General features: G+C 48.2%; 1 protein-coding gene across 21 annotated transcripts in view, besides 2 other annotated features; it reads right to left on the bottom strand.

Annotated features, from left to right (window-relative positions):
- The window catches only part of MGAT5 (alpha-1,6-mannosylglycoprotein 6-beta-N-acetylglucosaminyltransferase), a 334687-nt gene continuing 307063 nt past the window's right edge, over positions 260-27883 (bottom strand). For all 21 annotated transcript variants that reach the window (XM_006712534.4, XM_047444397.1, XM_047444400.1 and 18 more), the window contains 3 exons: positions 26442-26516; positions 12966-13123; positions 260-6232 (listed from right to left, as the gene is read on the bottom strand). In XM_006712534.4, the coding sequence (XP_006712597.1) occupies positions 6034-6232; positions 12966-13123; positions 26442-26516 (432 nt within the window). In that variant the 3' untranslated portion in view covers positions 260-6033. The remainder of the gene's footprint in view (positions 6233-12965; positions 13124-26441; positions 26517-27883) is intronic.
- Positions 10660-11160: an enhancer, noted in NCBI's record as "H3K4me1 hESC enhancer chr2:135201292-135201792 (GRCh37/hg19 assembly coordinates)". NCBI's record gives its function as "activates a minimal SCP1, AML or CMV promoter by ChIP-STARR-seq in naive H9 embryonic stem cells {active_cell/tissue: H9 hESC(naive)}" and the evidence as "EXISTENCE:reporter gene assay evidence [ECO:0000049][PMID:30033119]".
- Positions 22349-22643: a silencer, noted in NCBI's record as "tiled region #6492; HepG2 Repressive non-DNase unmatched - State 5:Enh, and K562 Repressive non-DNase unmatched - State 23:Low". NCBI's record gives its function as "represses a minimal TATA promoter and a strong SV40 promoter by Sharpr-MPRA in HepG2 and K562 cells {active_cell/tissue: HepG2 | K562}" and the evidence as "EXISTENCE:reporter gene assay evidence [ECO:0000049][PMID:27701403]".

Here is a 27883-nt window from a genome sequence, read left to right as displayed (position 1 = left end):
GGCAGCACAAGGAGAGTGCGCTAACATGAGTAGTGGTGGATGTGATATAAGGGAAGGAATACACAGTAGTAAAACCTTCCCCTCTCCACTCCTTAAGTATACCTTCCTGTCTTCCTACCAGCCGTTTCAACAGTGTGCTGCAAACCGTGAAATACAGCTGGGGGAAGCTGTGTGCTGGGGACGCGCCTAGACAGCAGCTCAGCTTTGTTCTGGAGGTGACCCTGCATGCACCCGCCCCCCCAAAAATCACTTCCACCTGTCACACAAGAAAAGTTTATTGAAAAATAAAGTTCTCCCTAGTTTTCTCTACAACAGTGGAAAACAAAGCAGTGCTCTCTATGCCAGGACAGTACATTTGGACGGCGACACCTTGTTTGCAGAATCCTGCATTACTTAACCCCCGAAGTGAATCACACAAAATGGCTGTAACCAGGATCTGTTTGAAGACACAGATGCAAACGGCCATTAGCTTAAAGACGTCAAGGTTGTGACAGCAACTACAGTGGAAGGGACGTCACCATCTCCTTTGGCATCAACTATTATGCTATTAATACTTGGGTAGGACAATGAGCAAAATGCTTCCCAAGTTCGCTCCCTCTCAGCTTTGGCAGATGTGAAGCTGCTCTGAGGTTCCTGACACGCTGTCCTGAGAGGCGTGTAGACCTCCAGCACCACAGATCCTTTGAGCACCACCCCGTCCCCGCCATCCTCCATCAACAGTGGCCCTGCCCACCACATAAGCACAGGGTTCTCCAGCCGTGGGGTCAGGGTGGCATTGAGGGAGTGTCTTAAGGCTCCACAAAATCTGGGCTACAGAGATGCTTTGCAGATGGGAAATTCCAGTCACTGCATCCACAGGACGAGACTGCTGATTTGGCGGAACAGAATCCAAAGGAATTTGACGAAGTCACCAAACTCCAGCAAATTCCACACCTGCAATCTATCCAGAGTTGTGCCAAGACAGGGCAGGAGATAAGGAGATAGATAAAACTTTGAATCCATCAGGGAAGTAAGAGGCTAAATCCTCTCCCCCAAAACAAAAAGCAAACCGATATTTAGGTGATTTGGGAAAACATTCAGTCATGAGCAGCCTCTAGGAGCTGTTCTGAGAGGCCAAAATCCCTGCCCCATTGCCCCCAGCTGGCAGGGTGGGGTTGGTTTTCTCCAGGAGGCGGCCAGGGAATAACCTTTAATTTGATGGAAACATGCAGAACTAACCAGTCTGGGAGTCTGATCCCTGAGGACAGGAGGGGCCACCCCAGCCTGTAGGGGCCGGCAAAGGGACCTGCCTGGGGAATGTGTAAGTTCAATTGGTCATTCCTTCTCCCTTAACGCAGAAAAGCCTCTATTATTGCATTCAAAGGAATACTGTTAACTTTGACTCAAGGGGTGCAGTCTGCCAGAGAACCCATTTTAATTTCTAGCTCAAAAATGTTCCTTGAGGAAAACCCTTGGAATGTTCTGAAAGACGTCAGTGGGGTAAGGTCCAGTATGTGGCTAGCCAAAGGTCACCTTTACCTTTTCCAGCTGGAGTTCATAAATTCTTGCAGCCTTGTTTCCTTGGGGGCTGAAGTCTGGCATATTTTCAAACCAGTGCATTCAAGAATACAGTAAGATCCCAACCAGCAGGGTAGGCCGAGAACTGGGCTACTCTAAACCAGTAATTCCTACAACATTCAATCAACTTGGAATCATGTTTTCATGTAGGTATTATTTTTGAATCAACAGGAAGGGAATGAGCTCAGCTCTATTTCTCAAGTTTTACGAAACACTAATAACAATATTTAACATTTACTAGGGCTTACTATGTGCCAAGCACTGTGCTAAACACTGAATCCTCACAAAACCCTAAGTGCTAAGAAAGCTAGGGTAATTTTTTTCTGCATTCAAGACTCTACAGCTAATTTGGTCTTTTGCTATAAAAACTTGGTCTCCCACTTTTTGTTGAAGCGAACAAGAATCACAGGAACTCACCCTCAGCTTCACGAAACTCCCAGCTTCCTAAATGAGCATGAATCTATTTATGTCCATCCGTCTACTCACATGAAGATGCTCTGCAGCTCCACAGGGATGGATGGGATTAGAATAAAGCCAATATGGAAATTAAAATACTTTTAAATAAATAAAATAATCCAGGCTTGGGATAGTAACACATACAACAGAGCCTGTCGTTAACAAAATAGACTTTTCTTTTTAAATCAAGAATTTTTGGCCAGAGGTGAGGGTGGCAATGTCTAATATACACAAGCTAGGTAAACCACCTTGGAGAAATGGGGTGGCCACCGTGGTCTGCCCTAAAAGGCACACACCTACCTACAGACATACAGTTTCAGTCCAACACATCATACTGATGTCAACCCTGTCAGTGAGCTGCACTGGGCTCCACTCCCAAAGGGGAAGCTCATTATTCACTTTTATTAAATCTTGCATTCACTAAAGAAACAAAAAAGGGGTGCACGTTCTTTCCCTTTCATGATGCTAAAGTATTTCTTCTCCAAGCAGGGCCCTGAACTCCTTGGATGCACCCATTCACATGATTCTGCCTCAGCCACACCTCAGCAAGTGCGTGGGTGGCAGGGAACACAGGCTGGTTGACACGTTGGCAACCAGCAGTCCCAAGGTAGACCCAAAGGTATGGCAGAATCCAGCCCTTTCTTGAGGTTCTCAAGGCTTCACACCCTCCTCTGTGGGTGGAAGTGCACATGCATACACGCTATGGCCTGGCGGGGGGGTTATAGGGAGCGTCTGGTGTCCAGCTTCAACAGCTACAGTGGCTCAAGAACATGTCCTGTCTCTTAGCTGGAGGAGTCTGCTATTGCCCTTCAACAGCATCCGGATTCCAAAAACCCCAAAGAAAAACGAAAAGGCACATCAAGGAAACAAATATCACTAAAGAAACTGACTAATATCTCCAAACGCACAGCAAACACACAAAAAAGCAAACTGTAATGAGCAGTGACACAAACCCAGTCCAAACAAAAATGAAAAGCATCTCCATTTATACATGTGCAAATCAAACTGCATACACAAAATAAATGCGGTGTTTACCAGCATTCAAAGAAGTCTTTTTACTCCTCAAAGTATCTACCTTTCAATGGAAAGCTTTCTCTTTTAGTAAATTAGATGAATGTTTTCCCTCAAGTTTTTTAAGAGCTTAGGATCACAATGGGGAAAATAATCCAAAAAAACAGGCAAGATATTATAGCGGGGAAAAACATTAATCATAACTTAGGATTTCTCTCCCCATGGAACTGTTATCAGCTATAAATCGGTTTAGGATTCTATCAAGATCAGCAATGGCAAAACCTCCGCAGGCTTCCAGCCCACACAGGGGCACCTTCCTCTCCTCTTCCATGCAGGGCAGTTGGAAGCCCCCTCCCCAGTTTCCTCTCCAGGATCACTGACTAGACCTGGGCCAAGTCTGAGGAGGCCTGGGAGCCAGTACACATTCAGGGGTCACTGACTCTTCAGATAATGCCCTAAACAACTGGAGTGTGGGCTTGTTTGCTCCAAGAGCAGCTGCCCTGTCAGTGGAACTCCGGCGCACTTCCACTCAATACTGGACTGGGGGGGATGAAAGAGGGATTTTTAAATGGCAGAAAAGTGTTCTTCTGGGCTGTCTGGCCCGGGCAGGGCGGGTTGTGACTTGGAAAAGAAGGGGAAGGTAGGGAGGCCTTGAACTTAGGGACAGCCAGCAAATGATCCTTGCAGCTTTTGGAACACAAGGCAGGGCTAAGGTTACCTTTCAGCTTCCTTGCTTAAGTAGCAGTGGCTAAGTGGGTTAAACTTTGCTCGGCCTGCAGGCTCCCCCTGTTGGTCAGATACTTGCATTGACATCCTCAGTGTTCAATGCTCCTGGAAGAGCCCAGGAGAGGGCGGCACTGGCCCAGGGATTGCAGGTCAGGGAACTCTAGCAAATTCCCACACCCTAGGGTACAGCCAAGAGGCCCATTCACAAGGAAAAAGCTCTTCCTTACAGCAAGGATGCCAGTCATCTGCCCTCCTACTGCAGGAAACTGCCCTTGCTTAAAAGAAATGCACAGGCTCATACACACACACACACACACACACACACACACACACACACACACACACACTCACTCACCAAGGTTTCCTTTGGACTTCTGCCCTTCTTCCTAGGCCCAAGCAGAGGCTATTCTCAGCCAGGTCTGGAGGCGCCCCTGTGATGATGCTCAGGGCAGAGGCCTCCCCATGGTACTCTACCTGGCAGATGTGCTTGGGGGCCACCTAAGGAGTGGAGGAGGCCCCGGGTGCCCCCCACCCTCCTCTTAGACTGGAGATACAATTGAGACGCACTGAGCAGGGATCTCAGTGGGCCTAAGAAAAAAGGCTGGCTGCACATTTGTGTAGCAATTGAGAAAGAAGCAGAATGTAACTTCCCAGACTTAAAGGCCCCACACTAACTCTAGTCCCCATGAAGCGGAATTCTTCCTTTCCCTCACATTCTGAAAGCTACCAGCCATTACGCCTTGCCCATCAGTTCTGCCCAGCGGAGGCTCCACTGGGCCGCCCTCTGTTAGCAGGAAGGGTGCTTGGAAGCCCCGGCACAGAGCACATCATTGAGCGACTGAGGCGCCCAGCAGAGGCCAAGTGGAGGACGCCAACCGCTCACATTAGGCAGAAGGGGTCTCACTTGCATCAGCATGGAGATGTCAGGGGCTTTTCAGAAACTTACAAACTTGTACAGAGCATGGCAGCAATGATTCAGTGGGGTGGGAACTTATACAAAGGCAGAGCATGGGGGGGTCCAGGGTTTGGAAGGTGGGGTCCAGTGTGTCTGACCAGGCCAACCTGATGACTGATTACTCAACAAGTCAGAGTGATCCTGCCTGAAGGAAAAGCCAGCACCAGATTCCCACCTTTGCGAGCTACACCCTCAGGTGAGTAGCCAGGACAGGGCACTGCATTCATCCTGAGCTGCCCCCACTCCCCCAGCAGACATCAAGAGCCCCCTTCCCTGGACTTTGGTGCCATCAGAGGGGACACAACACAAGCCCACCTGTCAGGAGCCCAGCTCCGGTCGCGCCACAAATTCTTAAGGACCGACTTCACTCCTGTCCAAATCTTGGCTCAAAGATAATCCTCTCCAAGTCCATGAACAGCGTGAGTCTTTCATCTCTACTTTCCTCCTCATAGCGGGGCTGGAGGGAGGGTGAGTTTACCAGAAACTCCAAAATCCCTCAATCCTGTATTTCCTTCCCAAAGGGATTCTAAAAGAAATTACGGCCAAGGTATGTGTCTGGGCATGGGGACATGGAGGAAAGGGGCCTCATCTCCTTTTTCGTCCCTGGCTGGGCTCTCTGGACAACACAGGCACGTCCCCCTGACTGAGGCAGCCCATGCTCTAGGTGCCATCTATGACGATGCCCTGGGGAGTTTGGCTGTGCTTCCAAAGCAAAAGTTTCTTTTGTTCTGCTGCCATCTGTTTTGAGCTGCCAGGTCCCCATGGCTGTCCCTGAGCAGGCCACCAGCCCCACGGCACACGGTCTCTCTCCTGCACCCTGCCCAAAGCAGACAGAACAACAGTATAGTGAAGGTGGATGATTAACAGTGGAAATAAAAGAAGCCTGTGATCAATCCCTCCTCTCCCTCCCGCGGTCCCCTCCCTCCCACCCGAATAAATAAGTTAATGGGTTTAGGAATATTCCCATTCAGAGTTCTTTCCCATCAGCTCAATTCCTCCTGTTTTGTTTTAAAGGACTCTTGAGACTTTCTTTTGCCCTGGAGCAGCTGCAGTGACAGTCTTCCCACAGTTGCTCCTTGAGAAACAGAAATGATGTTGTGCCAGGGACAAGCCAGGCTCCTGGCCTGACATACGCTCTTGTTTTGTTTTGGTGAAGACTCCACTGGGTTGCTCGGAGTGCAGCAAGGGCAATGCCAATTCAGAACCTTCTACGAAAAAGTTCAGGCTCTTGCCAGAGTCCCTGCATGACTTCTGTCCCTGGCCCTGCCTGACGGGGCTGGGGCCACTGTCTTCCCCAGCAGCATGGTGCAGGGCTGAGCAGGTAGCTGCTATAGGCAGTCTTTGCAGAGAGCCACCTGGCCCTTGATGAAGTCCCGGCAGGGGCAGACCCTCTGGTGCCTGGGGTGGGCGCCTGCACAGCTGAAGAGCAGGAGGTCACCTTGAAACACACAGTGCTTATTCTTAGGGTCAAAGGAGGGCACCAGGATGTCCTTGGCCAGCTCTGAGCTTTGGCAGGTCACCTTGTACCTGAAGAGGAAGAGAAAGGCACAAGTGTTGGTGATGAAGGGACAGAGCCTTTCCTCGTCACTGGCCCTGTGAGCCCCCATCTTGAGGCATGGGGGGATGTTCAGTTGTCTTGTCCTACTTTAGAAATGAAATGGTGCCCACCCTCTTCGTCTGCAATCCTCCACCTCTAGGCATCTAGACTCAGGAAGGCATGTGTGCACCAGGGAGTGTGTGCAGGGGTGTGTGTTTGAGGCTGCCTAGTGAAGCTTTGTCTGCAATGGAGAAAAACTGGAAACAACCCAAATACTCACCAAGCAGGGAATGGCCAAATAAATCATGGCCCTTCTGTGCTTTTAGAGTTCTCTGCAGCTGTTGAAAAAGAATGAGGGAGAAGAGAGGAGCAGGAGAGTCATCCTGGGGAAAGGTGAGTCCCAGAATGGGAAGCACAGGGGAACCAGCCCGCAGTGTGCACACGGGAGGTGAAGGCTGCAAGTCGAGACGGCTATGTGCTAATGCCTTAGCAATGGCTGCTTCCAAGAAGTGAGAGTGGGGCAAAGCTCAGCATCATTTACGTTCTTTAAGTATGTTTAACTTTTTAATTAAAGGCTTTAAAGAATTCCTGTTATATGGCCTTAGCCTCTTGCTGGAAAGCTATCAGACAGAAGGTGCTGTCCTGGGGCATCGCCTCCCTGGGTCTTTGCAGCCACCCTTAAGCCATGGCAATGGTAACCCCAGTTAGAGGAAGGTGAACTGAGGCTTCAGGATGTGCAGAGACGGCCTGAATCCAGGCCCTCTCTCCCCAGCCCTGTACTTCTGCCATCTTCTCCCAACAGCTGAGTGGTCTCAGGCGGTGGAGCCTGGTGGCTTTGCTTCCTTTGGCTGGGACCACTGCGTAGGGGGGCCAAGGATATTCTGATGTTTCCATTCCCAACAGTTTTGGCCTCTTATCTCATATCTTTCCCTCCCACTTGGGATGACTGCTCCCATCCACCTTGCTTCCTGAAGGAGGCAGCGGCCTCACCTGGTGTCCTGCATGAATGCGAGGTGGGAACCCATGCTGTATCTGATATCAGAGAAAGTGGTGTTGGGGGACGGGCAGACCTGGGTTTGAGTCCTGGCTTTGTCTTTTAGGAGCTGTGTGGCCCTGGACAAATGAGTGAGCCACTCTGTGGCTCAGATTCCCTTCCATAGAATGGGGATAAATGATTCTTTACTGCAGGAATTAAGTTAGTGCTTCTACAGCATGTGACAGAGTCAAGCTCTAAGTAAGTGGATAAATGGCAACCATCATTGTTGTCAGGATTGTGGTCATTGTCGTCATCACCCTGCCTTGGCAGACATCGGATGGGCTATACCACCTCCCCACTTGCTTGTCCAGTGGTATGAATTTACACACCAACCATTTCTATTTCACTTGGTTCATGGAAGTCTCATTTTTCTGCTGACACGGAGGGGATGAGGATGGGGAGCCTGAGGTTTCTCGTTGCCTCTGAGAAGCTTCCAAATGGGCTTGTATGTGTATGTATGCATATGTGTGTGTACATGGGCATGTGTGTAGAGCATGTTTATGTACTTGCATTTGTGTGCGTGCATGCGTATGCATATGTGTATGTGTATGTAAAGCATCATTTTCTCTCCTACTCCTGCCCTGTCTTTCTCTAGCTAACCAGCTGCCTGGGGCCTTCCTCCCCTTGCCAACATTAATCCTGCGATTCCCCGCACATCTGCTGGGGCTTCTGCTGAGATCTCCCAGGCTGTCAGCCTGGCTCCTGCTCAGTTGCAGCTGAAGCCCCAACTGCTTCTGGAACTCAGCATGTCACTGGTGCTCAGGCCTCCCTCCCCCAGAGCCTGCGGCGCCTCCTGCACGTGTGAACTGCACCAGGAGCCCAGACCTGCTCAGGAGAGCGGGACTCTCTTCTCTTGCTCCCACAGTCACCGGGAGAGCACTGCAACTACCCTAAATACCCCACCACCCCTGCTCTTGATGCCAGCTGGGAGATGGTAATGCCCAGGGAGTTAAGGTCATGAATCATGAAGGGAGAGGGCAGGAAGTCAATTTTTATGGATTTCCTAAAAGGAAAAATGAGTCAGAGACTTGCAGCTACCAGCTCCTTCACAGAATACCTCAGCTGGACAACAGAGAGAAAAATATCTGGAACTCAATTCTGAATGACAAGTTTACATATGGAACATGACCTTGGGATACAGGTTTATATTTATGACCTTTTTTTTTGGGTGAATTACAGCAGCTGCTGTGGCTTTACTTAAACCATCTGCCGGCACACTGCTAACCAGAGCATAGAAATCTCTACGGCGACTCTCAGACCCCATGGCGAGGAATATAATTGTCAGGAGCTATGAAAAACCCTCCTGCTCGCTCCCTGGGTCACCTGGACTCAGGCTCTAGGCCACCATCTCCCGGGGTAGAAGCACACATGAGCGTGTGTCTGTGAGCAGGATTCAGCTAAGGCTGCAGCAGCAGAAGCCTGCCTGGGGTGATGCACAGAGACCGCCGCAGAGTGCTCAAGCAGCAGACGCTTCACCAGGCCACAGGTGAGACCCGACACCAGGCAGCTCCTCAAGGGTTCAACTGATGGATTCGGCTGTGGAATGCAGGGCTCTAACCAACCCCCTGGCCCCAGTGTCTTCTAAGCCCCCAGTGAGCTCTGCCTTTTACTGGCATGCATGTGCCCATCCCATAGCTCTGAGCAGTCAGGAAGGTGACTCCATTATCCTTGGGAGCAAAGGTCATCAGTGAGGCAAAGCAGCTTTCCCCAATCGCTAGAGCACATGGAGACCAGACAGCCTCTGCAGCCCAGGATCCTCAACCCCTAGGGGGTCCCTGCCTTTCCAGGCAGTGCATGGTGCTATGTCTGCCTCTCTGTCCCTGCAGTGTCTGTCTCACAAACAAGCACATCCTCCTGCTCAGAGACCCCACCGCAGTGTGCCATCTTCCTTTCCTTTCTTCCTAGTTTCTTACAGGATGGTAGTTAAAGTTTCTGGGCCCATCAGGTCTCAGTTTACAGTTTATAGCTCTTGAAGAATAAAAAAAGGCAAAGCCTCCCTCCAATGGGGCTGACCACGCTGTGACTGAAGTCACAGGCACTGGGCTGAGAAGTCACCAGTCCCTTCCTGACACAGACCTATAATGCACAGGACAGGATGCGCTGGACAGGAGGCGAGTGCTGCTGTCTCACCTGCTGCTCCCGCCCCTCCCTCCTGCCCCTTCCCTTGAGTGCCTTCCCTCCCTTAGCCCCCTCTCTTGAGGGCTCTGTTCATTCCAGCTCTGCCTTGCCAGGTCCCACCTGGCAAAGACTCCACTGGGCTGCTCTGAGTGCAGCAGGAGTATTACCAAATCAGAACCTTCTACCAAAAAGTTCAGGGTCTTGCCAGAGTCCCTGGATGACTTCTGCCCTTGGCCCTGCCTGATGGGGCTGGGGTCACTGTCTTCCCCAGCAACATGGTGCGGGGCTGAGCAGGTGGCCTACTAAGGGTCACCTTCCCTCTCTCAGGTACCAAAGCACTCAGTCTACACTGTACTGCTTAGAATTCTTTGCACAGAGCAACCCCAGTTGCCAATAATTTAACATTGTAGAAGAAACAACTTTAAGAGGTAGCAAAATTAGAAACTGGGCAGGAACACATGTTCCTGTGTATGGAACTGAGGTCCTCTCCACTGGGCCCCACTGGAATGGACCCTGGCACTTCCTGGAGCCTGCATCTTCCAGTCTCCACCCCAGTCTGGGAGGAGACTTGTCCAGAGGATGTGGGTCGCACCTGAATCATGCGTGCTCTGCGGTGGCCTCTTCAGTGCTTAACTGCGCCCTTGCACCCTGCATGCACAAGAACTCGAGGCTGGTTTCCTGAATGGCCCTGATTCAAGACAACACAGGACACTCCAAAGGGTTCCCCTGATGTGATATACTAAAGTCATACTATAGAGTGAGGACAGGTGGTTCTTAAACGCTATGGATACCCAAAGACTGAAAAAGGAACTTAAACTTAGCTCAAAGCAGGCTCCAAGTTGGAGATGCAAAGGCAGCACTGGCTTGCAGGAACTGCTAATTGCTAATTGGCTATGAATATGGATGGGCCAGGATCACCTCCACACTGAGGAGGCACTCAATAGACTGCCAGATAGCAGGGGTTTTACAACATTATCAGTATTTACAAATGCATGAACAAGTTATTCAGCAGGGTTCTTATGTTCAGAGAATTAATATCAGACGGCTTTATTGCAAAATTAGCATTCATTCTAGCCTCCTGCTAAGAAAGCCCGCATCTCTACAGTGGGGTAGGAGGTGGGGGTGGGGTCCAGCGATCCCATGGCACAGGGCCTGGCCTCAGGACAGCCCCACGCCAAGTCCTTTTGCTCTCGTGAACTCTGCATGGATACGGAGGTGGGGAGGGGCCAGGGCTGGGGCTGGCTTATCCGTCTTGGCTCAGTGGCCTCGGGCCTACTCCACTGCCCAAAGCTCTCTGGAAGAAAGGGGTGTTCTACTCTGTCTTTGGCAAGGGCTGTTCATTATCTTACCTATCACCTAGGATATCCCCATTTTACAGATGAGAAAACTGGCAGAACTGAGGGGAGTGGCCATTTGCTCTTTCTCCTTCCTGCCTTCCCTGACCTGGACCCTGGCCTGGAGGTGGCCTGCCTTTGTAGGGCCCCATGCTAGCTCTGAGCCAGACCCTGAGCACAGTCCCTGGGCCAAGAGCACTGACTCCTGCCTGGCCAGGAAGGAAGCCGTGCTGTTCAGGAGTCCCATTTGGACCCATTCCCAGGATGCGGCTTCTCGTATCTCTTCTTCCAGAAGTGGGCTTATGCAGACAGTCCCTAGTCTGTAACTAGTGAATTCCAACTTCAGATGCAGACAGACTCAGGGTTCTCAAGAATCCACCTTACTCCAAGAGCTATATGCAAAAGGAGCGCATGGAAAGCCCCTCACAGGACCCTACAATTCAAGATTTGCGCTGTGGAACTGGAAACTTCCAGTACCATCACAGGCTTTCCAGACATCCTGGACCACTGCCCCCTCCTAAAGCTTGCCTGGTGGCAGAGCAGGGTGCCGCCCCAAGCCCCCACTTTTGACCTATGCTTTTGTTTTCATGGTGGAATCAGGGCAGCTTCTGTGCCTGGGTCTTCTCATAAAAAGACCAGGAAAAAAATAGCATCACCAGGGCCGGGCACGATGGCTCACGCCTGTAATACCAGCACTTTGGGAGGCCTAGGCGGGCAGATCACCTGAGGCCAGGAGTTTGAGACCAGCCTGGCCAACATGGTAAAACCCTGTCTCTACTAAAAATACAAAAGTTAGCTGGGCATGGTGGCGTGCAGTTATAGTCCCAGCTATTTGTCCCAGGCTGAGGCGTGAGAATTGCTTGAACCCAGGAGGTGGAGGTTACAGTAAGCCAAGATCGCGCCACTGCACTCCAGCCTAGGCAAAAGAGAGAGACCCTGTCTCAAAAACAACAACAACAACAACAAAAAAAAACATAGCTTACACCCCTACTCATGAGAGCTTCCCTGCAGCAGGCAGGACACAAGAGGCCACACACTCTCCCTACGAAGGGTTTTATACCACACTTAAGGATAAGACGACTCACAAGAAACAGGCCAACTCAGACCATGGTGCACAAATAACAACAGTGGACAACAGCACTAACAGGGCGTGAAGCCTGAACAGGGACAGGTGAGCCCTGAGCCCCAGGTCCACTCCACTTCCTAAACATCCTCTTCAAGCCTGGAATGGTACACCTGCTAGATCGAATATCTGGAGTTGGGACAGCAGGGTCTTATTATTTGTAGGCTAGTCTCTTGCATAAAACACCTAATCAGAGCTACTAAGGTGGTGGGTGGGTGGGGAGGCTAGATAATTATGCAATATGTGGACTACGGTGGGGTGTGATAAAAATTGAGAGAATGGATTCAAGCCTGTCAAAGATCATGGGTGAGAGGCCAGAAGAAACCTCACACGGAAATTTGGGAACTGCAAATGCCCAACTCAAAATGCCAATGCAAAGGGAAAGGAAAGGTGCCACTAAGTAATGCAAGCACAAGGTAAGAAATTCAAGGAAGGCGCCTCCCCTGTGCAGCCCTGGGCCAGCATTCCCAGTGCCACACTCGCCTCATTACCAAGAGACCCCGCAGACTCAGGTCTGCTGGGGCCTGAGATGCACCATGTGTCAGTGAGCTAGAAGAAAGTGCAAAAGGGAACAGGCCGCAGGAGAAGGCTGCTCTTGGAGATTGTTGTGGGCAGTTTTGTGCCGGCTCCTTCTCCATGTTTCTCATTCCTTTCTGACTCCAGGGTTGAACAATGTCACTTGCCACCAGCCCCTTGCACTGCTCAGACTCTGCTGGAGGCCTGGCTACCAGCAGGGGTCTGAGGAGCTGGTCCATCTATACCTGTGGCTCTGTGCCCACCTCTACTCCCACTGTTCTTGGGGTCAACATTAGCAAGCCGAACACCTCCCACAATCTTCAAACCCAGATACAGCTTTATTTATGCAAATACAACACTCCCATTTAAATTCTAAACACATCATCATGCCAGGTGACTTCATCTCACCCAAAAGGAACGGTAACAACACTGGGCTAACTCTCTAGGGGGATCCTGCTGCAACCTACTCCCCTCCCACACCTTATCCCCACAGCCCAGTAGCTTGGAAGAGGAAACCTGTACCTCTCACCTGACTACCCAACAAGGCCAGCTGGAGTCTAGGGGCTGAGTCCCCACCCCCACCCCAGGGCACTTACTTCAGCATGTCCTTGTCCTTGTTGAGGTGCTGGAAGAAAGAAGGCTCGCAGATGAGCTGGCTCTCCTGGCACACCTGCTTGCAGGACTGCCCGGGCTCAGCAAGCTTGACCTGTAGGGCGCTGAGGGGTGGCCACATCACTTGCCCATGGCAGAAGTCCTAGAACGACAATGAAGCCATCAGCCACAGGTCCAAGGATACAGCTGGGGATCCCCAGCCCTGCCAACCACCCTAGCAATGGAGGCGGCACACTGGGAGAGCACAGGGACGGGGAAGAGTTGGGAGCCACATGGATGGGCTGGATTGGGGCTCAGCTGGAATATGCCTTCAGCCCAGGTCTTGACCTCCCTAACCACCAGCTTACTCAACCTCAAGACAGGGACCAACAGCAGTGCCTTCCACAAAGGGCTCCAGGATGAGAGGTCATACTTGTGATGAGCTTGGCACCACGCCTGCCCGTGAAGGGTGGCTATTCTCAATCATCACCATCAACACTTATGCAGCCAGGCTATTTAGAGCCTCTGCTCTTCAAGGCCCATCTTCAGACCAGCTTCCACCAGCTGGTCTGTTCTCTTCTCTGATTCCAAAGGCACTGTGTCTACCCTATCTTGGCAGTTACCTAATACGACACTGTTTCATAAGCGCTACTTTTATCTCAATGGCAAGGTTCTGACGCTGTGAGGTGAAGATCACGCCAAGGAGACTGCAGACACTTCTGACACCACCTCATATGGTGCTGTGTCTTTGGTAGGGACTTAGTGCTGGTTGGTTGAAAACAAGCACAGTAAGTCCTCACTTAGTGTCGTCAATAGTCTCTCAGAAACTGCAACGTTAAGCGAAATGACAATATAAAGAAACCAATTTTACAACAGGCTAATTGATATTAACAAGAGTTAAGTTCCTATGGTACATTTCTTGTCAAAAAACATCACCAAACTTCTAAATAAAGACCCAAAACACTTCTAATATTAAACATTGAAACAAATGTGAGCTATACACACATTTAAGAAAGATGAATAAATACAAATAAGATAAATTATTTACTCAATTTTTGGTGAATCAGTGAGTGACGGCAGTTGTGGTGGTGGGTTCAATCGAGGAATACACATTTGCGAAGTGAAAATCGTAAGAAGTGCCTCCTCCCACCTCATAATTCACTATCAATCAATCACTAACATGGCACCGCAATCAGGCCTGCCTCCACCAGCTGGTCTGTTCCCTTCTGATTTCTTGCATGTGTATGATTATCGTAGACTTTATGAAGTTTTATTGTACAATAATTTGTATCGATTCATTTGTTTTCGAACGCTCTTATTCCAGCTCAGTGTTGAGGGCGGCTGGAGCCTATCCCAGCAGCTCAGGGTGCCAGACGGGAAGCAGCCCTGGACAGGACATGGTTCTATCGCGGGGTGCATTCATGCGCACCCCCACTCACTCATGCTGGGACCATGTAGACACGCCAGTTCACCTCAGGTGCCCAGCTTTGGAATGTGGGAGAAAACCAGAGACCCTGGAGAAAACCCATGAAGACACAGGGAGAATGGGCTGACTCCACACAGACAGTGGGCCCGACCAGGAATCAACTTTCTTCATTCTAAACATTATAGCAAAATGACATTATTTGAGGATCTTCTGTACAACATTTCGTATATTCAAGAACTGGAGAAATAGAAGTCTAAGTAGCATGTGATAGGATGAGCAGGAATATGGCACCCCCTACCAAGAATGTGTGTTAAGTGCTCCGAGTGGGGCAGAGCCAGTTGACCCTGGGATCTAGAGGGAATAGAGGAAACCAGCAGGTCTAAGGAGGACTCGGGGGTGAGGAGAGGGTTGGAGGACTGCCACTGAGCAGTAACATGGAGTACCAGCACCAGGAGTGGTAAGGAGATGTACTTTTCAATGTGTGTCCTTCTAGAGTAGCCTACTTTTCCTCACGTTTCCTTTCCAGATCTGTGCGGAGGAGGAGTTGATCAGTAATCTCAGGGCCCAGGGCTCCTAGCACTGACGCAAGCCGAGGAAATGTTTCTGTCCCTCCCTTGTCTGTCATGTGGAATGCCACCACAGGGATATGAGGGTCTCATGCTGCCAGGCGGGCCCCTTGGCATGGAGGTGGGTGTAGCACCAGAAGAGGGGCTGGCCCAGAGCTGCATCCAGAGGGCATACTGTTGCCATTTTTCTTTTCTTTTTTTTTTAACCTTGTGCTTGTATAGATATATTTTTGAGACGAAGTCTTGTTCTGTCGCCCAGGCTGGAGTACAGTGGTGCGATCTCGGTTCCCTGCTACCTCCGCCTCCTGGATTCACGCAATTCTCCTGCCTCAGCTTCCTCAGTAGCTGGAACTACAGGTGTGCACCCCCACACCCAGCTAATTTTTGTATTTTTAGTAGAGACGAGGTTTTGCCATGTTGGCCAGGCTGGTCTCGAACTCCTGACCTCAGGTGATCTGCCCACCTCAACCTCCCAAAGTGCCGGGATTACAGGTGTGAGCCACCGCGCCCGGCCTTGTGTTACTTTTAATGAGCCAAAAGACAGTAAGAAGGAGCAAAGCAAAACCCACCGAAGGCTCTGTGGGCAGCTGGCCCTGAGAGCACATCCTGCCTCTTGCTTTTACCAGCTATGTGAGCCTTTGGGCAAAATACCTAACAGTCTGAAGCCTTAGTTTCCTCATCAGAAAAAGGAAGATGATGATACTGATGATTTCTTAGGGTTATTGCTTCTTCCCATCTCCTTGAAGGAGGAAATGCTGAGAAAGGCATTGCCTGCTGAGAAAGGCAACTATAGGTTACTACTAGGTTACTTGGTGCTAGCTTCTCTTAGAGTCTCCTTAAATCAAGGATCCTGATTCCAACAAGGCAGGCAAACCCACTGTTGCCCTCCACTCATGTGTTCCTATGATGAGGGGATTTGACTACTCCAGCCCGAATGAGTTTTGGTGGTTAATGAGCAAAATGCTTCACTGAAGAGTTGGCAGGAAACCTAGAACTTGGATTCCTATCAGCTGCAAATAGAATTCCAGGAAGGTCTAATAATTCAGAGATGAAAAGAAACATATTGGATTATTGAGGGATATTAGGATGCAGCTTACTCTTCTGAAAATGATGCACAGTGGGTGAGTGGGTAAGCAGAGTGCCCCAGGACCCATACAGCCCTGGGCACCACCAGAGACAGACAACTAGACAGAAGACCCTCAAATGACTCCTTATATTCATGGTGATTTTCATCACAATCCAGGCCCCTGTTAAGCCATGGGTCGCAACGTAACTTGAGTCTGAATGCTGCTACTAAGGCAGACAGCATGACTGTACAGACCTGTGAGACCCTGAATGGGGGCACAGTGATCACTGGTGGCCGTTGCTTTCTTAGGTGACAGGAAACCTGCTGGCTGGCCTTTGACACTCTGCCCATCCCATTGGGACAGCTGTCATCAGACAGGAAGAATGAAAGCACACAGTGATCAATGGAGTTACTGATGATCAGAGCTGAGTGGGGGCATGGGCATTGGAAAAGGTAAAGTGTTTTTTGGTTGTTTTTCTGGTTGGCTAATGCAAGCAACTTTGTTTATATAGGTTGAATATCCCTTATCTGAAATGCTTAGGATGAGAAGTGTTTGGATTTTTTCAGATTTTGGAATATTTACATATATAATAAGCTATCTTTGAGATGAGACCCAAATCTCAACATAAAATTCATTTATGTTTCATATATATCTTAAACATGGAGGCTAAAGGTAATTTTTAAAAATATTTTAAATACATTTGAGCATTACACAAAGTTAAAGTACTTTTATGTGTGAAATTTTCCATGGTAGTGTCATGTTGGTGCTCAGCAAGTTTCAGATTTTGGAGCATTTTGGATTTTCAGATTAGGGATACTCAACCTGTAAATCTTTTTTTTTTTTTTTTGAGACGGAGTCTCGCTGTGTCACCCAGGCAGGAGTGCAGTGGCATGATCTTGGTTCACTGCAACCTCCCTCTGCCAGGTTCATGTGATTCTCCTGCCTCAGTCTCCTGAGTACCTGGGGTTACAGGTACATGCCATCACACGCAGCTAATTTTTGTATTTTTAGTAAAGACGGGGTTTCGCCATGTTTGCCAGGCTGACCTCGAACTCCTAGCCTCAGGGGATTCGCTTGCCTCAGCCTCCCAAAGTGTGGGATTACAGGTGTAAGCCACCATGTCAGCCCGCTCAACCTGTAATTCTTTAGGAGCAACTGGATAACTTCTGCAGCCTTTAAATTTTATAATAAAGAGATTTTAAAATCCACATACACCAAATCATGTGACTGAACAGAAAAGATAAGTCAACCGGGAAATCTAGACCAGATCACATCATTTACATCAGAAGAAGCCAAGTGGGAATGTTTCTCTCTGCACCTTGGATTTGGCTTGACCCAGTCCTGGATTAGGCTGGGAAAATGAAGACCCACGAAGGCTGAAAGCTCCTGTTTAGGCTTTCATGGCTGGCAAGAAAACTGTGGAACATCTCTACTTACATGACATCTACAAACAGCTGAGGGCAGTATCTCTGTACCTACTGAGTTTGAAGACTCTTTAGAAACTTGGCTTCTTATTCATGTTCAGCCTCATGGGGTACAGGAAGCAGCACAAAGGTTAACACTGAAGCTAGAGGCCAGGCAGGGTGGCTCATGCCTGTAATCCCAGCACTTTGGGAGGCCAAGGTGGTTGGATCACCTGAGTGGAGGAGTTTGAGACCAGCCTGACCAATGTGGTAAAATCCCATCTCTACTAAAAATCCAAAAAAATTGCTAGGCATGGTGGCGCGCGCCTGTAATCCCAGCTACCCAGGAGGCTAAGACAGGAGAATTGCTTGAACCCGGGAGGCAGAGGTTGCCGTGAGCCGAGATGGCGCCACTGCTCTCCAGCCTGGGCGACAGAGCGAGACTCTGTGTCAAAAAACAAAACAAAAGCCTGAAGCTAGTGCAGAGTCTTGCTTTGTTTGACAAGGAGGAAGTGATGAGTGATATGGCGATGGAATGTGCTTCAAGTCAGAAGGAGCAGACTGGGAGCCTTGCCCCACCACTGTGGTGCTTTGGGTGTGTTACCCAGTCTGGTCTCATCTCCTGCTTGTCTGCAAAGAGTGAGGCTAACAGATAGTAAGACATGGAGCTGAGCAGAATGCTGGCAAATGGCAGGTGCTCCATAAATGCTCCTTTTCCACCTGTTAGCCCTTCTTGGAAGAGCTGCCTGTGCCCCGTAGAGCTTCCAAGGTACTGCATTGGAGACATCTGCAGAATCTGGGGCAGCCCTAGATGAATGGACACCTTGCACCTCAGGTCCAGCAGGGCAGGATGGCACCGCAAGGCCCAAACCATGGGAGATGTCCTTAAAGCTGCACTGCAGGGCTGATATGCCCTATTTGTTCATTTCTTTGTAAACTACAGCAGCCTCCCCTCTCAAGGTCCCCCTCAACAGGTGTGCTTAGTTCAATCCTGCAGCTGAACACTGGAGCTCCAGGAACCCTTTCTGGTGCTCCCCAGGAGCATGGTCTAGCATCCTCTCAGCAGTCTGTTTTGGGGGTCAACAGAATCAGGAATAGTAAAAATAGCAGCAGGAACTTCTCAAAGCTTGCTGCCACCTGGAGAGTCTAAAGATGATCACACTGAACAGAGGGAGGCCTGAAGGTGGCAGGAGAAAGCTGGGGATCTGGGTTAGGATTCTGGCTCCCAGCTGTGGGACTTCATAGATGTCTCTTCAGCTCTGCCTGCTCTCACACATAAAATGAGGATGATGCCATCTGTCCTTCCCTCCTTATCTAATTCCTGTGAGAAGAAAATGAGGTGACTGATAAGAAAGAACTTTGAGATGTTAAAGATAATGTTCCAAGGTTGACCATTCTTTGCTGCAAGAGTCTGGAGGTAAAAGTTGAGTTGGCTGATTACATATGATAATTCACCTACATCCACAAGATCCACCTTTTGGCCCAGCTGCTTTTAGGGCACAACTGAAATGGAAGCCCCTGTCATAGCTTCTTCTCTCCCATAAGTGCCAGTCCCATTGGGTGCTCAGAGAAGGCTGGGAATCCTCTGTTTCATTCAACTGCAACACAGGCTAATAAGGCAGTGCCAACTTGCCTTATCTCCTTATCATAAGTACTCATTCCTTCATTCTTTGAACAAATACTTGCTACTAGGCAGAAAAGCATAAGGGCTCAGAGCTCAGACTGCCTGGTGGACTCTTACCTCCTCCGTTTATTAATCATAATGTATAACATGCTCAGAAAAGCGCCTGACACAAAAACACCATCTGCATGTTGGCTGTCACCATGACGACATGCAATCTAGTCCCTGGAGTGTGAGGGAAAGGATGATGAACCAGAGGAACCACAAATCCCTGCCTTCATAGGGCTTGCATTCAGCGAGGGAGACAAAAAAACAATGGATAAGTCAATATATATAGTACATTAAAAGGTGGTAAGTATTCTAGAAAAGAATGAAGTGAGACTGTTGGCAGAGATGATGTCCTGATAAGGCATCACTGAAATGGTGGCAGCTGGGAAAAGACACGAGGAAGTAAAGAAGTGAGCCATGCAAGCATCTGGGAAGAACATTCTAGGCAGAGGAACATCTAGATCAGAAGATTTGACAAGGGAGTACATTCCAGGGGGAGCAGGCGCTTCTGGGTAGCTTGGTAGAGTGTGTATATTATGGGTCAGAAGTGATGGGGTTCAGGAGGGCCCTGGGAGTCAGATCTTTGGGGTCTAATTGAATGCTCTAGCTTTTCCATGAAGTAAGATGGAAGACACTGGAGATTTCCGGGAAGAGGGGTGACGGGATCTGCATGCTGGGAACAGACTGCAGGAGCAAAGCAGCAGCAGAGAGACAGGAAGCTGCCGCAACAGCACAGGAGAGAGATACGGGACTGAGACCCTGAGACAGGGCATCTCTGTTCAACAAATCCCCATGAAACACTCATGTAAGCTGGCTTTGAAGGTTTCCTCATTCATTCAGTACTTTACTAATGACTATTAAAGTCTCCCACTGGGTGCTGGAAATATAAACATGAAGGAGACACAGTCCCTGGACTCAGAGGTTCAGTGCGCAGTCTAGTAAGAGAGGCCGATGCTAAAAAATTACCGAACAGTATGAAACAAATGCCCAAATAGGATGCGCAGGCCACTTGCAGAAAGGAAAAGATTAACTCTAGGGAAGGGGAAAGTGGTGGTAGCAGTCAGAGAAGGCTTCCAGGAGATAGGGAAGGCCATCTGGGTTTTGTAGGCTGTATGGAAGTTAGCAGCTTACCTCTAACATGGCGCTTTGCAGATAGCTGGTGCTGGGAACAGACTGCAGGAGCTGCTCAACTAAACTGAATGTGTTTTGCATCTTGAGGCTTTGACAGTAGCAGAAGTAGAAAAGGAAACTATTCTAACTCAACGAGCTCCTATGCAGCAAAAATGAGATATAAACAGTAATTTCCAATCTGGTTAACAAGCCTGCTTAGAACACAGAACATCTGCATCCTTCCCTAACAATTATTTCAACCAGTCACCAAATTTCTCTAAATGTGCTTGACTATCCTGAAATTTCCATGCAGTAGTCATAAACCAACAAAAAGTCTAATAACCAACCAATTTATGAGACGGAACAATGTTCTAAACAAATGAACACAGCCAACCCTGAAGAAGAGGTGAGAGCACCGCCTTTGTAAAGAAGGCTAATTAATTAGCAGCCTGGGGAAAACACCATAAAAATACAGAAGGGGCCAGAGAAGGGGAGGAGAATGCTCCCTGGGAGAAGCGCCAGGTAGCGGGACTGGCTTGTTCACGCCCTCTTGGTTTGCTGGGCCAGGGAAAGGGTCACTTGTTCAGAGCAAAGCGGAGGAGTGGTAACAGAAGGGCCAGTCAGAGAGGGCTAAGTGGTGTGTGAAGGGGGTCCAGAAACCCCTCACCCCACCCACTGCAGCCAACTCTTTCACAGAGTTACTAATAAGCCCATGAGAGTTCGGTGCAAGTGGGTTTTGGTGGGAACCCACATTGTCTGGAACCAAGAACACAGGTTCAAATATAAATGTCTGCAGGCAGGATCTAGAGGAAGAAAAACCAGAAATTGGCAAAAAAAAAAAAAAAAGTTGGTAGGACAGGTAGGACCATGAAAATGGGGTTTGGGTCCCGTTCGGTCAGCTATTTGAGGGATAAGGCACATATTGGTTATCTGTGTTACAGCTGAGAAATCCAGGGCCTGGCACAGGAAGTGTTCCATAAATATTGAGTAACTGACTGGATTAGCACACCTCAGGTGCCAGGCTGAAACCGACCATTCTCGGCGTGTGCTTTCCCTTAAAACACAGTGAACTGTGTCCACACACGGCCCCAGAGGTTGTTTCCCAGAAGTGAGTGTGAATTTTTGTTTCCACAAAAGAAACAGTGACGGTGCCTATAAAACTGAGCAGTAGGCAGCAATCTCCATGGATTATCTCTACACATGCAAAATTCCACTGAGCAAAAAACTCACCTTTGAAGAGCCAGAACAGAAATCTACCTTATTCACACACTTCTAGGAGTCTACGCAGGAGAAACGAAAACAGGTCCATACACAGATTGCATGTGAATGTTCACAACAGCACCTACCACATTAGTCAAAACGTGGATATAACCCAAAAGCCTATCAATTGGTGAACGGATAAACAAATTGTGATATTAATCTGTACATACATGGAATACTATTCAGCAATAAAATCAGTTCTGACACATTTAACAACATGGGTGAACCCCCAAAACATCATGCTAAGTGAAAGCCAGAAATCTCCAGAAAAGGCTCATCTAAAAAGGCAGGAAACAGATCAGTGGTTTCCTAGGCCTGGGGTGGGAGCAAGGATTGATTGCTAACAGGGACAAATGAGTTTTTTGGGGTGACGGAAATGCTGCAAAACTAGAGTGTGGTGGTAGTTGTGTAACACTACCAATTTGCTAAAAAAAAAATTGAATTGTGTCCTTATATGCAGTGAACTTTATGGTCTGTAAACTATACCTCAGTGAGCCAGTTTGAAAAACACACCTTGGTTGGTTTCTGGGCTCCTGCGGCAACTCGTAGCGAAGGCTTTGAGAGCACCCACATGGGCCAGGCATTGTTCTTAGTGCTAAACATTATCAAACTACCTTTTCCTTCACCAGCCTGATGGGTAGGTTGCATTATCCCTATTTCTCAGAAGAGGAAAGAGCATAGAGATGTTAGGTAACTTGCCCAAGGTCAGAAACACAGTGACAAGCAGAGCTAAGATGTGAACCCAGGCAGTCAGCTGCTAGGGTTCTGTGCTTAATCATTACCTGCCTAGTCTCTCTGGGTGCAGGAAAGGCTGGGTAAACAAAAGCTATTGATTTCTCAAGAGTAAACATTCCTCAAGCTAGTACCAACCTTCTCCCCTTTTCAATTTCTCCCTCTTTCCTTGCAATCTGTCACCTCTACCATTGCTCCCACCTTTGGACTATCCAGATTCATAACAGGCTTGTCCTTGCATCCAGAACACTCCATAGTGGGCTTATTCTGGGCTCTGATGAACAGACATCCTAGGACCTTCAGCTGATTCCACAGCCATTGTTGGAGTTAACTCTTTTTTTTACCCTCCCTCTCTCCAGAATGCTTCTCAGATGAATCACACAGCTCTTTACAAATTAACATGACTGTGACCATGCTATATATTTACAGTGTCTTTACAGGAAACAGAAAATATAATTCAAGAGCATATGTATGGTTTTAATAAATCAATCTGAAATTGCCATTCCTTCAAAAAAGTCCTGCTATACTCTCTGACCTGAGGCTAATACAAAAGACTTTCCCAAGAAATGCATAATGAAAACCTTAACAAGCCCACACATACTGAGGATAGGGAACAACAGTGCTTGATCTTAGATTACAAAGAAGTTCTCCCTGCTGGAGACAGCGTCTCTTTGAGAAAGCTCATTTAAAAGAGCATGCACTCTGAATCAACATTTTCAGTACAGTAAAGGAAGTGGGGACATTAAGAGAAAAGAGCAAGTGGTTTTCCTAGATCCAGGAGTCTTTCTCATTGGGTGCCTGTACCCAGGGAGGACTGGGTATGAGGTGGGTTTCCTGCTGGCGACTGCTCAACTGCACACTGAAGCCCGGCGTGCCCTCGATTGCTGTCTGTTGGCTCCGTCTGGCTCCCACTGCCTTGGCTGAGCATGACGGACAACCCTGAAAGGTTTCTGGGGTAAAAGCTTCTGTGTTCTCCTTGCAGATCACATGGAGAACTCTGAAGGCAGATATTGGCCTAATTAGGGCTGCAGTGCTCCTACCATTCAAGGGATGGGAAGGGCCTCCTCGGAGCTGCAGGCTTTCTTGTTCATACCAGGAACACCTCCTCTCCATCCTCGCTGCCCTTTGAAGATATTCGTCTAGCTGCAAAAAATAATGAATACTCCAACCTCTAAAACACTGGGGTCTGGAGCTAAAAGAGGTAGCAGACCCAATCTGTGAACCAATGGGGTCTTGGCTTCCTATCTTCCTTCTGGCATCAGAGGAACATTCTGGGTTCAATAGAATCTCTGAGATAAACTCAAAATAGGCCCCCTTTATTGCTCATTTAGGAACATTTGGAGAATGTTTAATAAGAAATGCCCCTAACACAAGATTCCTGGAATGATTTTTCTAAGCACCCATCTGACAGTTCCACTGCCCCTTAGCCTGCGACAAAGCCCTTCTTTAGCTTCCTATTATCCCAGAATCAAACTGGAATTCTTCAGCCGAGCCTCAGCGTCTTTTCACATTCTGCAATCTCCTCCTCCAGCCTGGTCTCTTACCTCATCCCTCTCTTCAGTCAAGTGCCTATCATTCCCCATGACATTTCTCCCCCCTCCAGGCCTTCACATCTGGACTTGTCCAGCCTTCAGTCTGTGCTACCAGTTTGCCTTCAGGACTCACCTCCTGCAAGATGCCTTCAGATACACTCTACCATTTCTCCCCCGTCCTCCCTCGGCGGGCTGGGCCATGTGATCCCCAAGCATCCTGTTGCTTCACTATTACCAGGCTGAACCTACAGCAGTGGCACTTACTGCCTGTGGACTTGGCTGCCTTCTCCATGAAACTTGCAGCTACTTGAGGGTAGGGATGGGGACCTGGAGCTATTGTCCTCCCCAACTGACCACACAGCCCATGGCATGTTCCAGCTGACAAATAATTCAGAGTAGAAGAATGAATCAACAACAGCAGGCAAAAAAGAAACCTCTGGATTTCTGTGAACTGCAGATCTCTGCAGAAAGGCCTATATGGTGGGGGTGGGGGGCGGTGCAGTTTTATTAGCATGCTTTCCAGCAGACAATTTTGGTAACATGTATTCCAAATCATGAAGTCCAAGATGAGCTTCCTGGTTCCTGACACACAGGAATAAAAAGCACACTCACCCTCCCTTCCTCCCTTCCTTCCTTCATTGTTTCTGTCACCTGGAAGTTACTGTGCACCGACCATGTGTCCAGCAGGTTACTAGGGATATAGAGGTGAAGCCAGGTGGAGCCTCTGCATTATGGAGCATTTAGCAAGGTCTATTTGGTGAACAGGACCTTCCTGTTTGAAAGGAAGCCCAGCAAGGCTTACAGAGGACCTGGTAACTTTTAAAGACTGGCTGGAATTCCTGAGCCTCAGGGGAGAAATAAAAGCCTTCAAATAAACCTGATCAAGAGTCATTTATGCCTGGCAGTTGGGTAACTATTTTCCCTAAGAGGACGTGGAGACAGGCAAAGAGGGTTTCAGCAGCAGCTGCAGGGATCTTAGTATGATCTCAAGAGAGCTGCCGAGATGGCGGCAAGAGCTGTGATGTCTTAAGACCCATAATTGAAGGAGGCCCTGCAACTCCTCTTTGCAGCTGCAGGAAGGGTGAGCAGCCCTTGATGATGCAAGAAGACGGGAAGCAAAGCTCTGGACACCTTCTGTCTCCTGAGGCCCTGGTAAGCATGGTTGGTGTAGACTTGGCCTCACATCAAACTGTATCAAATCTTGATTCCACAATCTGTGAGCCTGATAACTGTGAGTCTTGGTTTCCACTATCCAGATAATGGGGTTATTACTACCACCTCCTGGAATTACTGTGAGAATTAGATGTTATATTATGATGTGTCTGGCACATGCTGGCACAAAATCTGTATGGATGTGGTTGCTAGAGTTGTGATGATACTGTCATTCTGGTGTCATATAAAGGCTGAATGAGATAAAGATTCAAATGGTTTCTCGTGAAACCAAATAATTATACTACAAAGTAGTGTATTACAGTACAATATAGCATAATGTATTAAATAATCAACAGTACCAGTTTGCATTTATTGAGCACTATGTATGTGCCAGGCTCTGTTCTAAGCACTTTGTATGTATTAGCTCATTAAATCCTCACATCAGCCCTACGAAGTAGGCCCTATTAGCATCATCCTTATTTTACAGACAAGGAAACTAAGGCATAGAGAGGCCAAGTAACATGCCCAAGTCATGTAACTAGAAACACATGGTGCCAGGAGTAAAACCCACATGGCCTGGCTGCAGAGCGCGCTCTCTTGCTGCTAACAAAAGCTCAGCATATCAGACACACCACCCCGAAGTATATGACCACGGCTCCCAGCTCCAACAGCAGCACCCAGGGCTGCTGGCTGCTCGCCACAGTTTCAGTCTCCTCAAACCATCAACTCTTCCTTTGAAGCCCACCTTGGGCCTACTTAGATTTTCAATACACCATTTCTATTTTCAGCTTGCACCATCCTCATCCCCTATTGTGTAAAGATCCCTTGATTGCCTTAAAAAATGCTTTATCCTTTAGGAAGAGCACCTTATTTCTGGGATCTAGTCAAAGAGTTCATATTCTCCTACCCACAGGGGTTCTGAGTCCGTCTATTTCTAGCTCTGTGTTGCTTTTGAAGTCCAAGGAATTAAAATGCTATAAAATGATAGCAACAGGCTCCTGGCCTTTACTTCTAGGAGCACATGCTGCAGTTTCCAAACCTTGTTGGGGAAGGTGGAACTCTTGGCACCCTCCTTGGCTTTGTCCTGCTTTTTATCTGTTTTATATACATATAAGGTTTCATTTGACAAAGGGTCCTGCTTTTAGAAGATGTCTGAAAACCTCTAAAAAGTCCTAACATTTAGAATTGCTGAACATGTATTATTAAAATAATGCTTAGAAAAAGCTGGTTTCAATTCTTGCCTTTCTTAAGGTGAGAATGGGCCTCAGAACCCACTCAGGGCACAGACCCTGATGGTCAGGGGCATCTTCACAGTAATCATCCCATCTCTCTTGTTATAAGTTTCCATTTCACCTTACACTGTCATCAAGAACATACCTACTCCAAGGGAATACTGGTTCTCTTGGGTGACCATGACAGTGCTACTATTATCCAGCTTCTAGAGTCTCCCAAAGCAGGAAAATAGCCACAGAAACACAGTGAGCTCTTAAATGTTCTTGAGAGCCCTATGGCGTCACAGGAAGCAGTACACAGCAAAGACAGACTGACTTCTGATAAGCCTTACCTGTTTTTCAATGAAAGCATTGATTCTCTGTAGCATCCCCTCGCACGTAAATTCATATGGCATGTATGGCTCAATCTGTGGAAACAGAGCATGATACCATGAAGGAGAAGGACAGAGAACATGTAGCACCTCCTCAGTCCTCCGACTCACTCAATACACGGGTGCTAACACCAGGAGTCGGCCTCATGAGGGTTGACTATGGACTTGCAAGTCGTGATCTCAAGCTGATCCTTACTAGGTGTGGGACTCTGAGCAAATGACTTGCCATCTCTAAGTCTCAGGTTCCTCATATGTAAAAGGGTGATAAGAAAAACTCACCTCTTTTAAGCTGCAAAGATTATCTGGGAGAAAAAAGGTGCTTAGTTTAGTGACTAGCACATAGTGGGCATTCAACAAAAGATGGAAGTTATCACTTGCTAGCAGGTAATTTCCACAGGGCAGAGTCCATGCTGTTGGGTCATCTTTACATTCTAGTGATGAGCACAGTGTGGCACATATAGGAAATTAGCAAACATCTGTTGAATGAATGCATGGTCACTGCTGTAAGGCAACAATGAGCAACTGAAGGATCCGTGACAGTGACCTGTATTTGGTCTGTATTTGTAGGTGAGGTTAGCCTATATCCGAAGAACTCACGGTGTAAAAATAAAGTTATAAAGTGTCACAAGAAGTCAGCTAGGGGGTCCTGGGAGGCTAGAGGGTCAAAGCAGACTTCTACTCATGCTGGGCTTTTAAGGCAGGCTGAGTCTAGCAGGCCCAAACTGGAGAGGGCCAAGATGCTGAAGACATCCTTGGTGAACAAGTAGTGTGGTCTTTAACATGAAAGGACAGCAGGTAACTGCAGCTCAGTATTATGGGAACTGGTGAGACGAGGTGGAAAATTCACTGAATTTCCAAAAAAGCCTTGAGGTTTCTATGCTAAAGAGCCCGATTTTATTTGAGGGGAGTAGGAAACTCTACAGGATGCTTCATTAGGGTAGAGGAGGCAATCTTATCAATATTGTGACACCTTGGAGAAGGGGAAGAAATGTGGGTTTGATCTCTGCTGCACAGTGTCTGCCAACACTATGAGGCCTGTGTTTTCAGGTGTATTACCAATCTAAAATGGAAATTTCATTTGAGAGAAAATCACCAGCAATATAGTCTATTATTGCTTCAGGGAGCCCAACAGCTCCTCTCAGCAATAGGGTAGACGGAGGGGCACCTTCACCAGCACCAGCTACCTCTAAAATGTTTGCTGGGATCTACAGGGTGGAGAACTAGGCAAAACTTCTATAATTGAAGCTTGCTGAAAATGGGACAATGAACAGAAATAACATTCCTTAGTTGGCAGCCAAGCAGTTGGTCTCAGGGCATCATCTCCCCCTTTCTCGTATGCCAAATCACACATTACATTGAAATCTTCAACCATGATTTTCAGAAATTTTAATTGTCTTCAAATG

Source organism: Homo sapiens, chromosome 2, assembly GCF_000001405.40.
Source record: "Homo sapiens chromosome 2, GRCh38.p14 Primary Assembly".
NCBI classification, from domain to species: domain Eukaryota; kingdom Metazoa; phylum Chordata; class Mammalia; order Primates; family Hominidae; genus Homo; species Homo sapiens.
The sequence above is the reverse complement of the archived record's forward strand: the minus strand, read 5'-3'. Positions and strand labels throughout refer to the sequence as shown.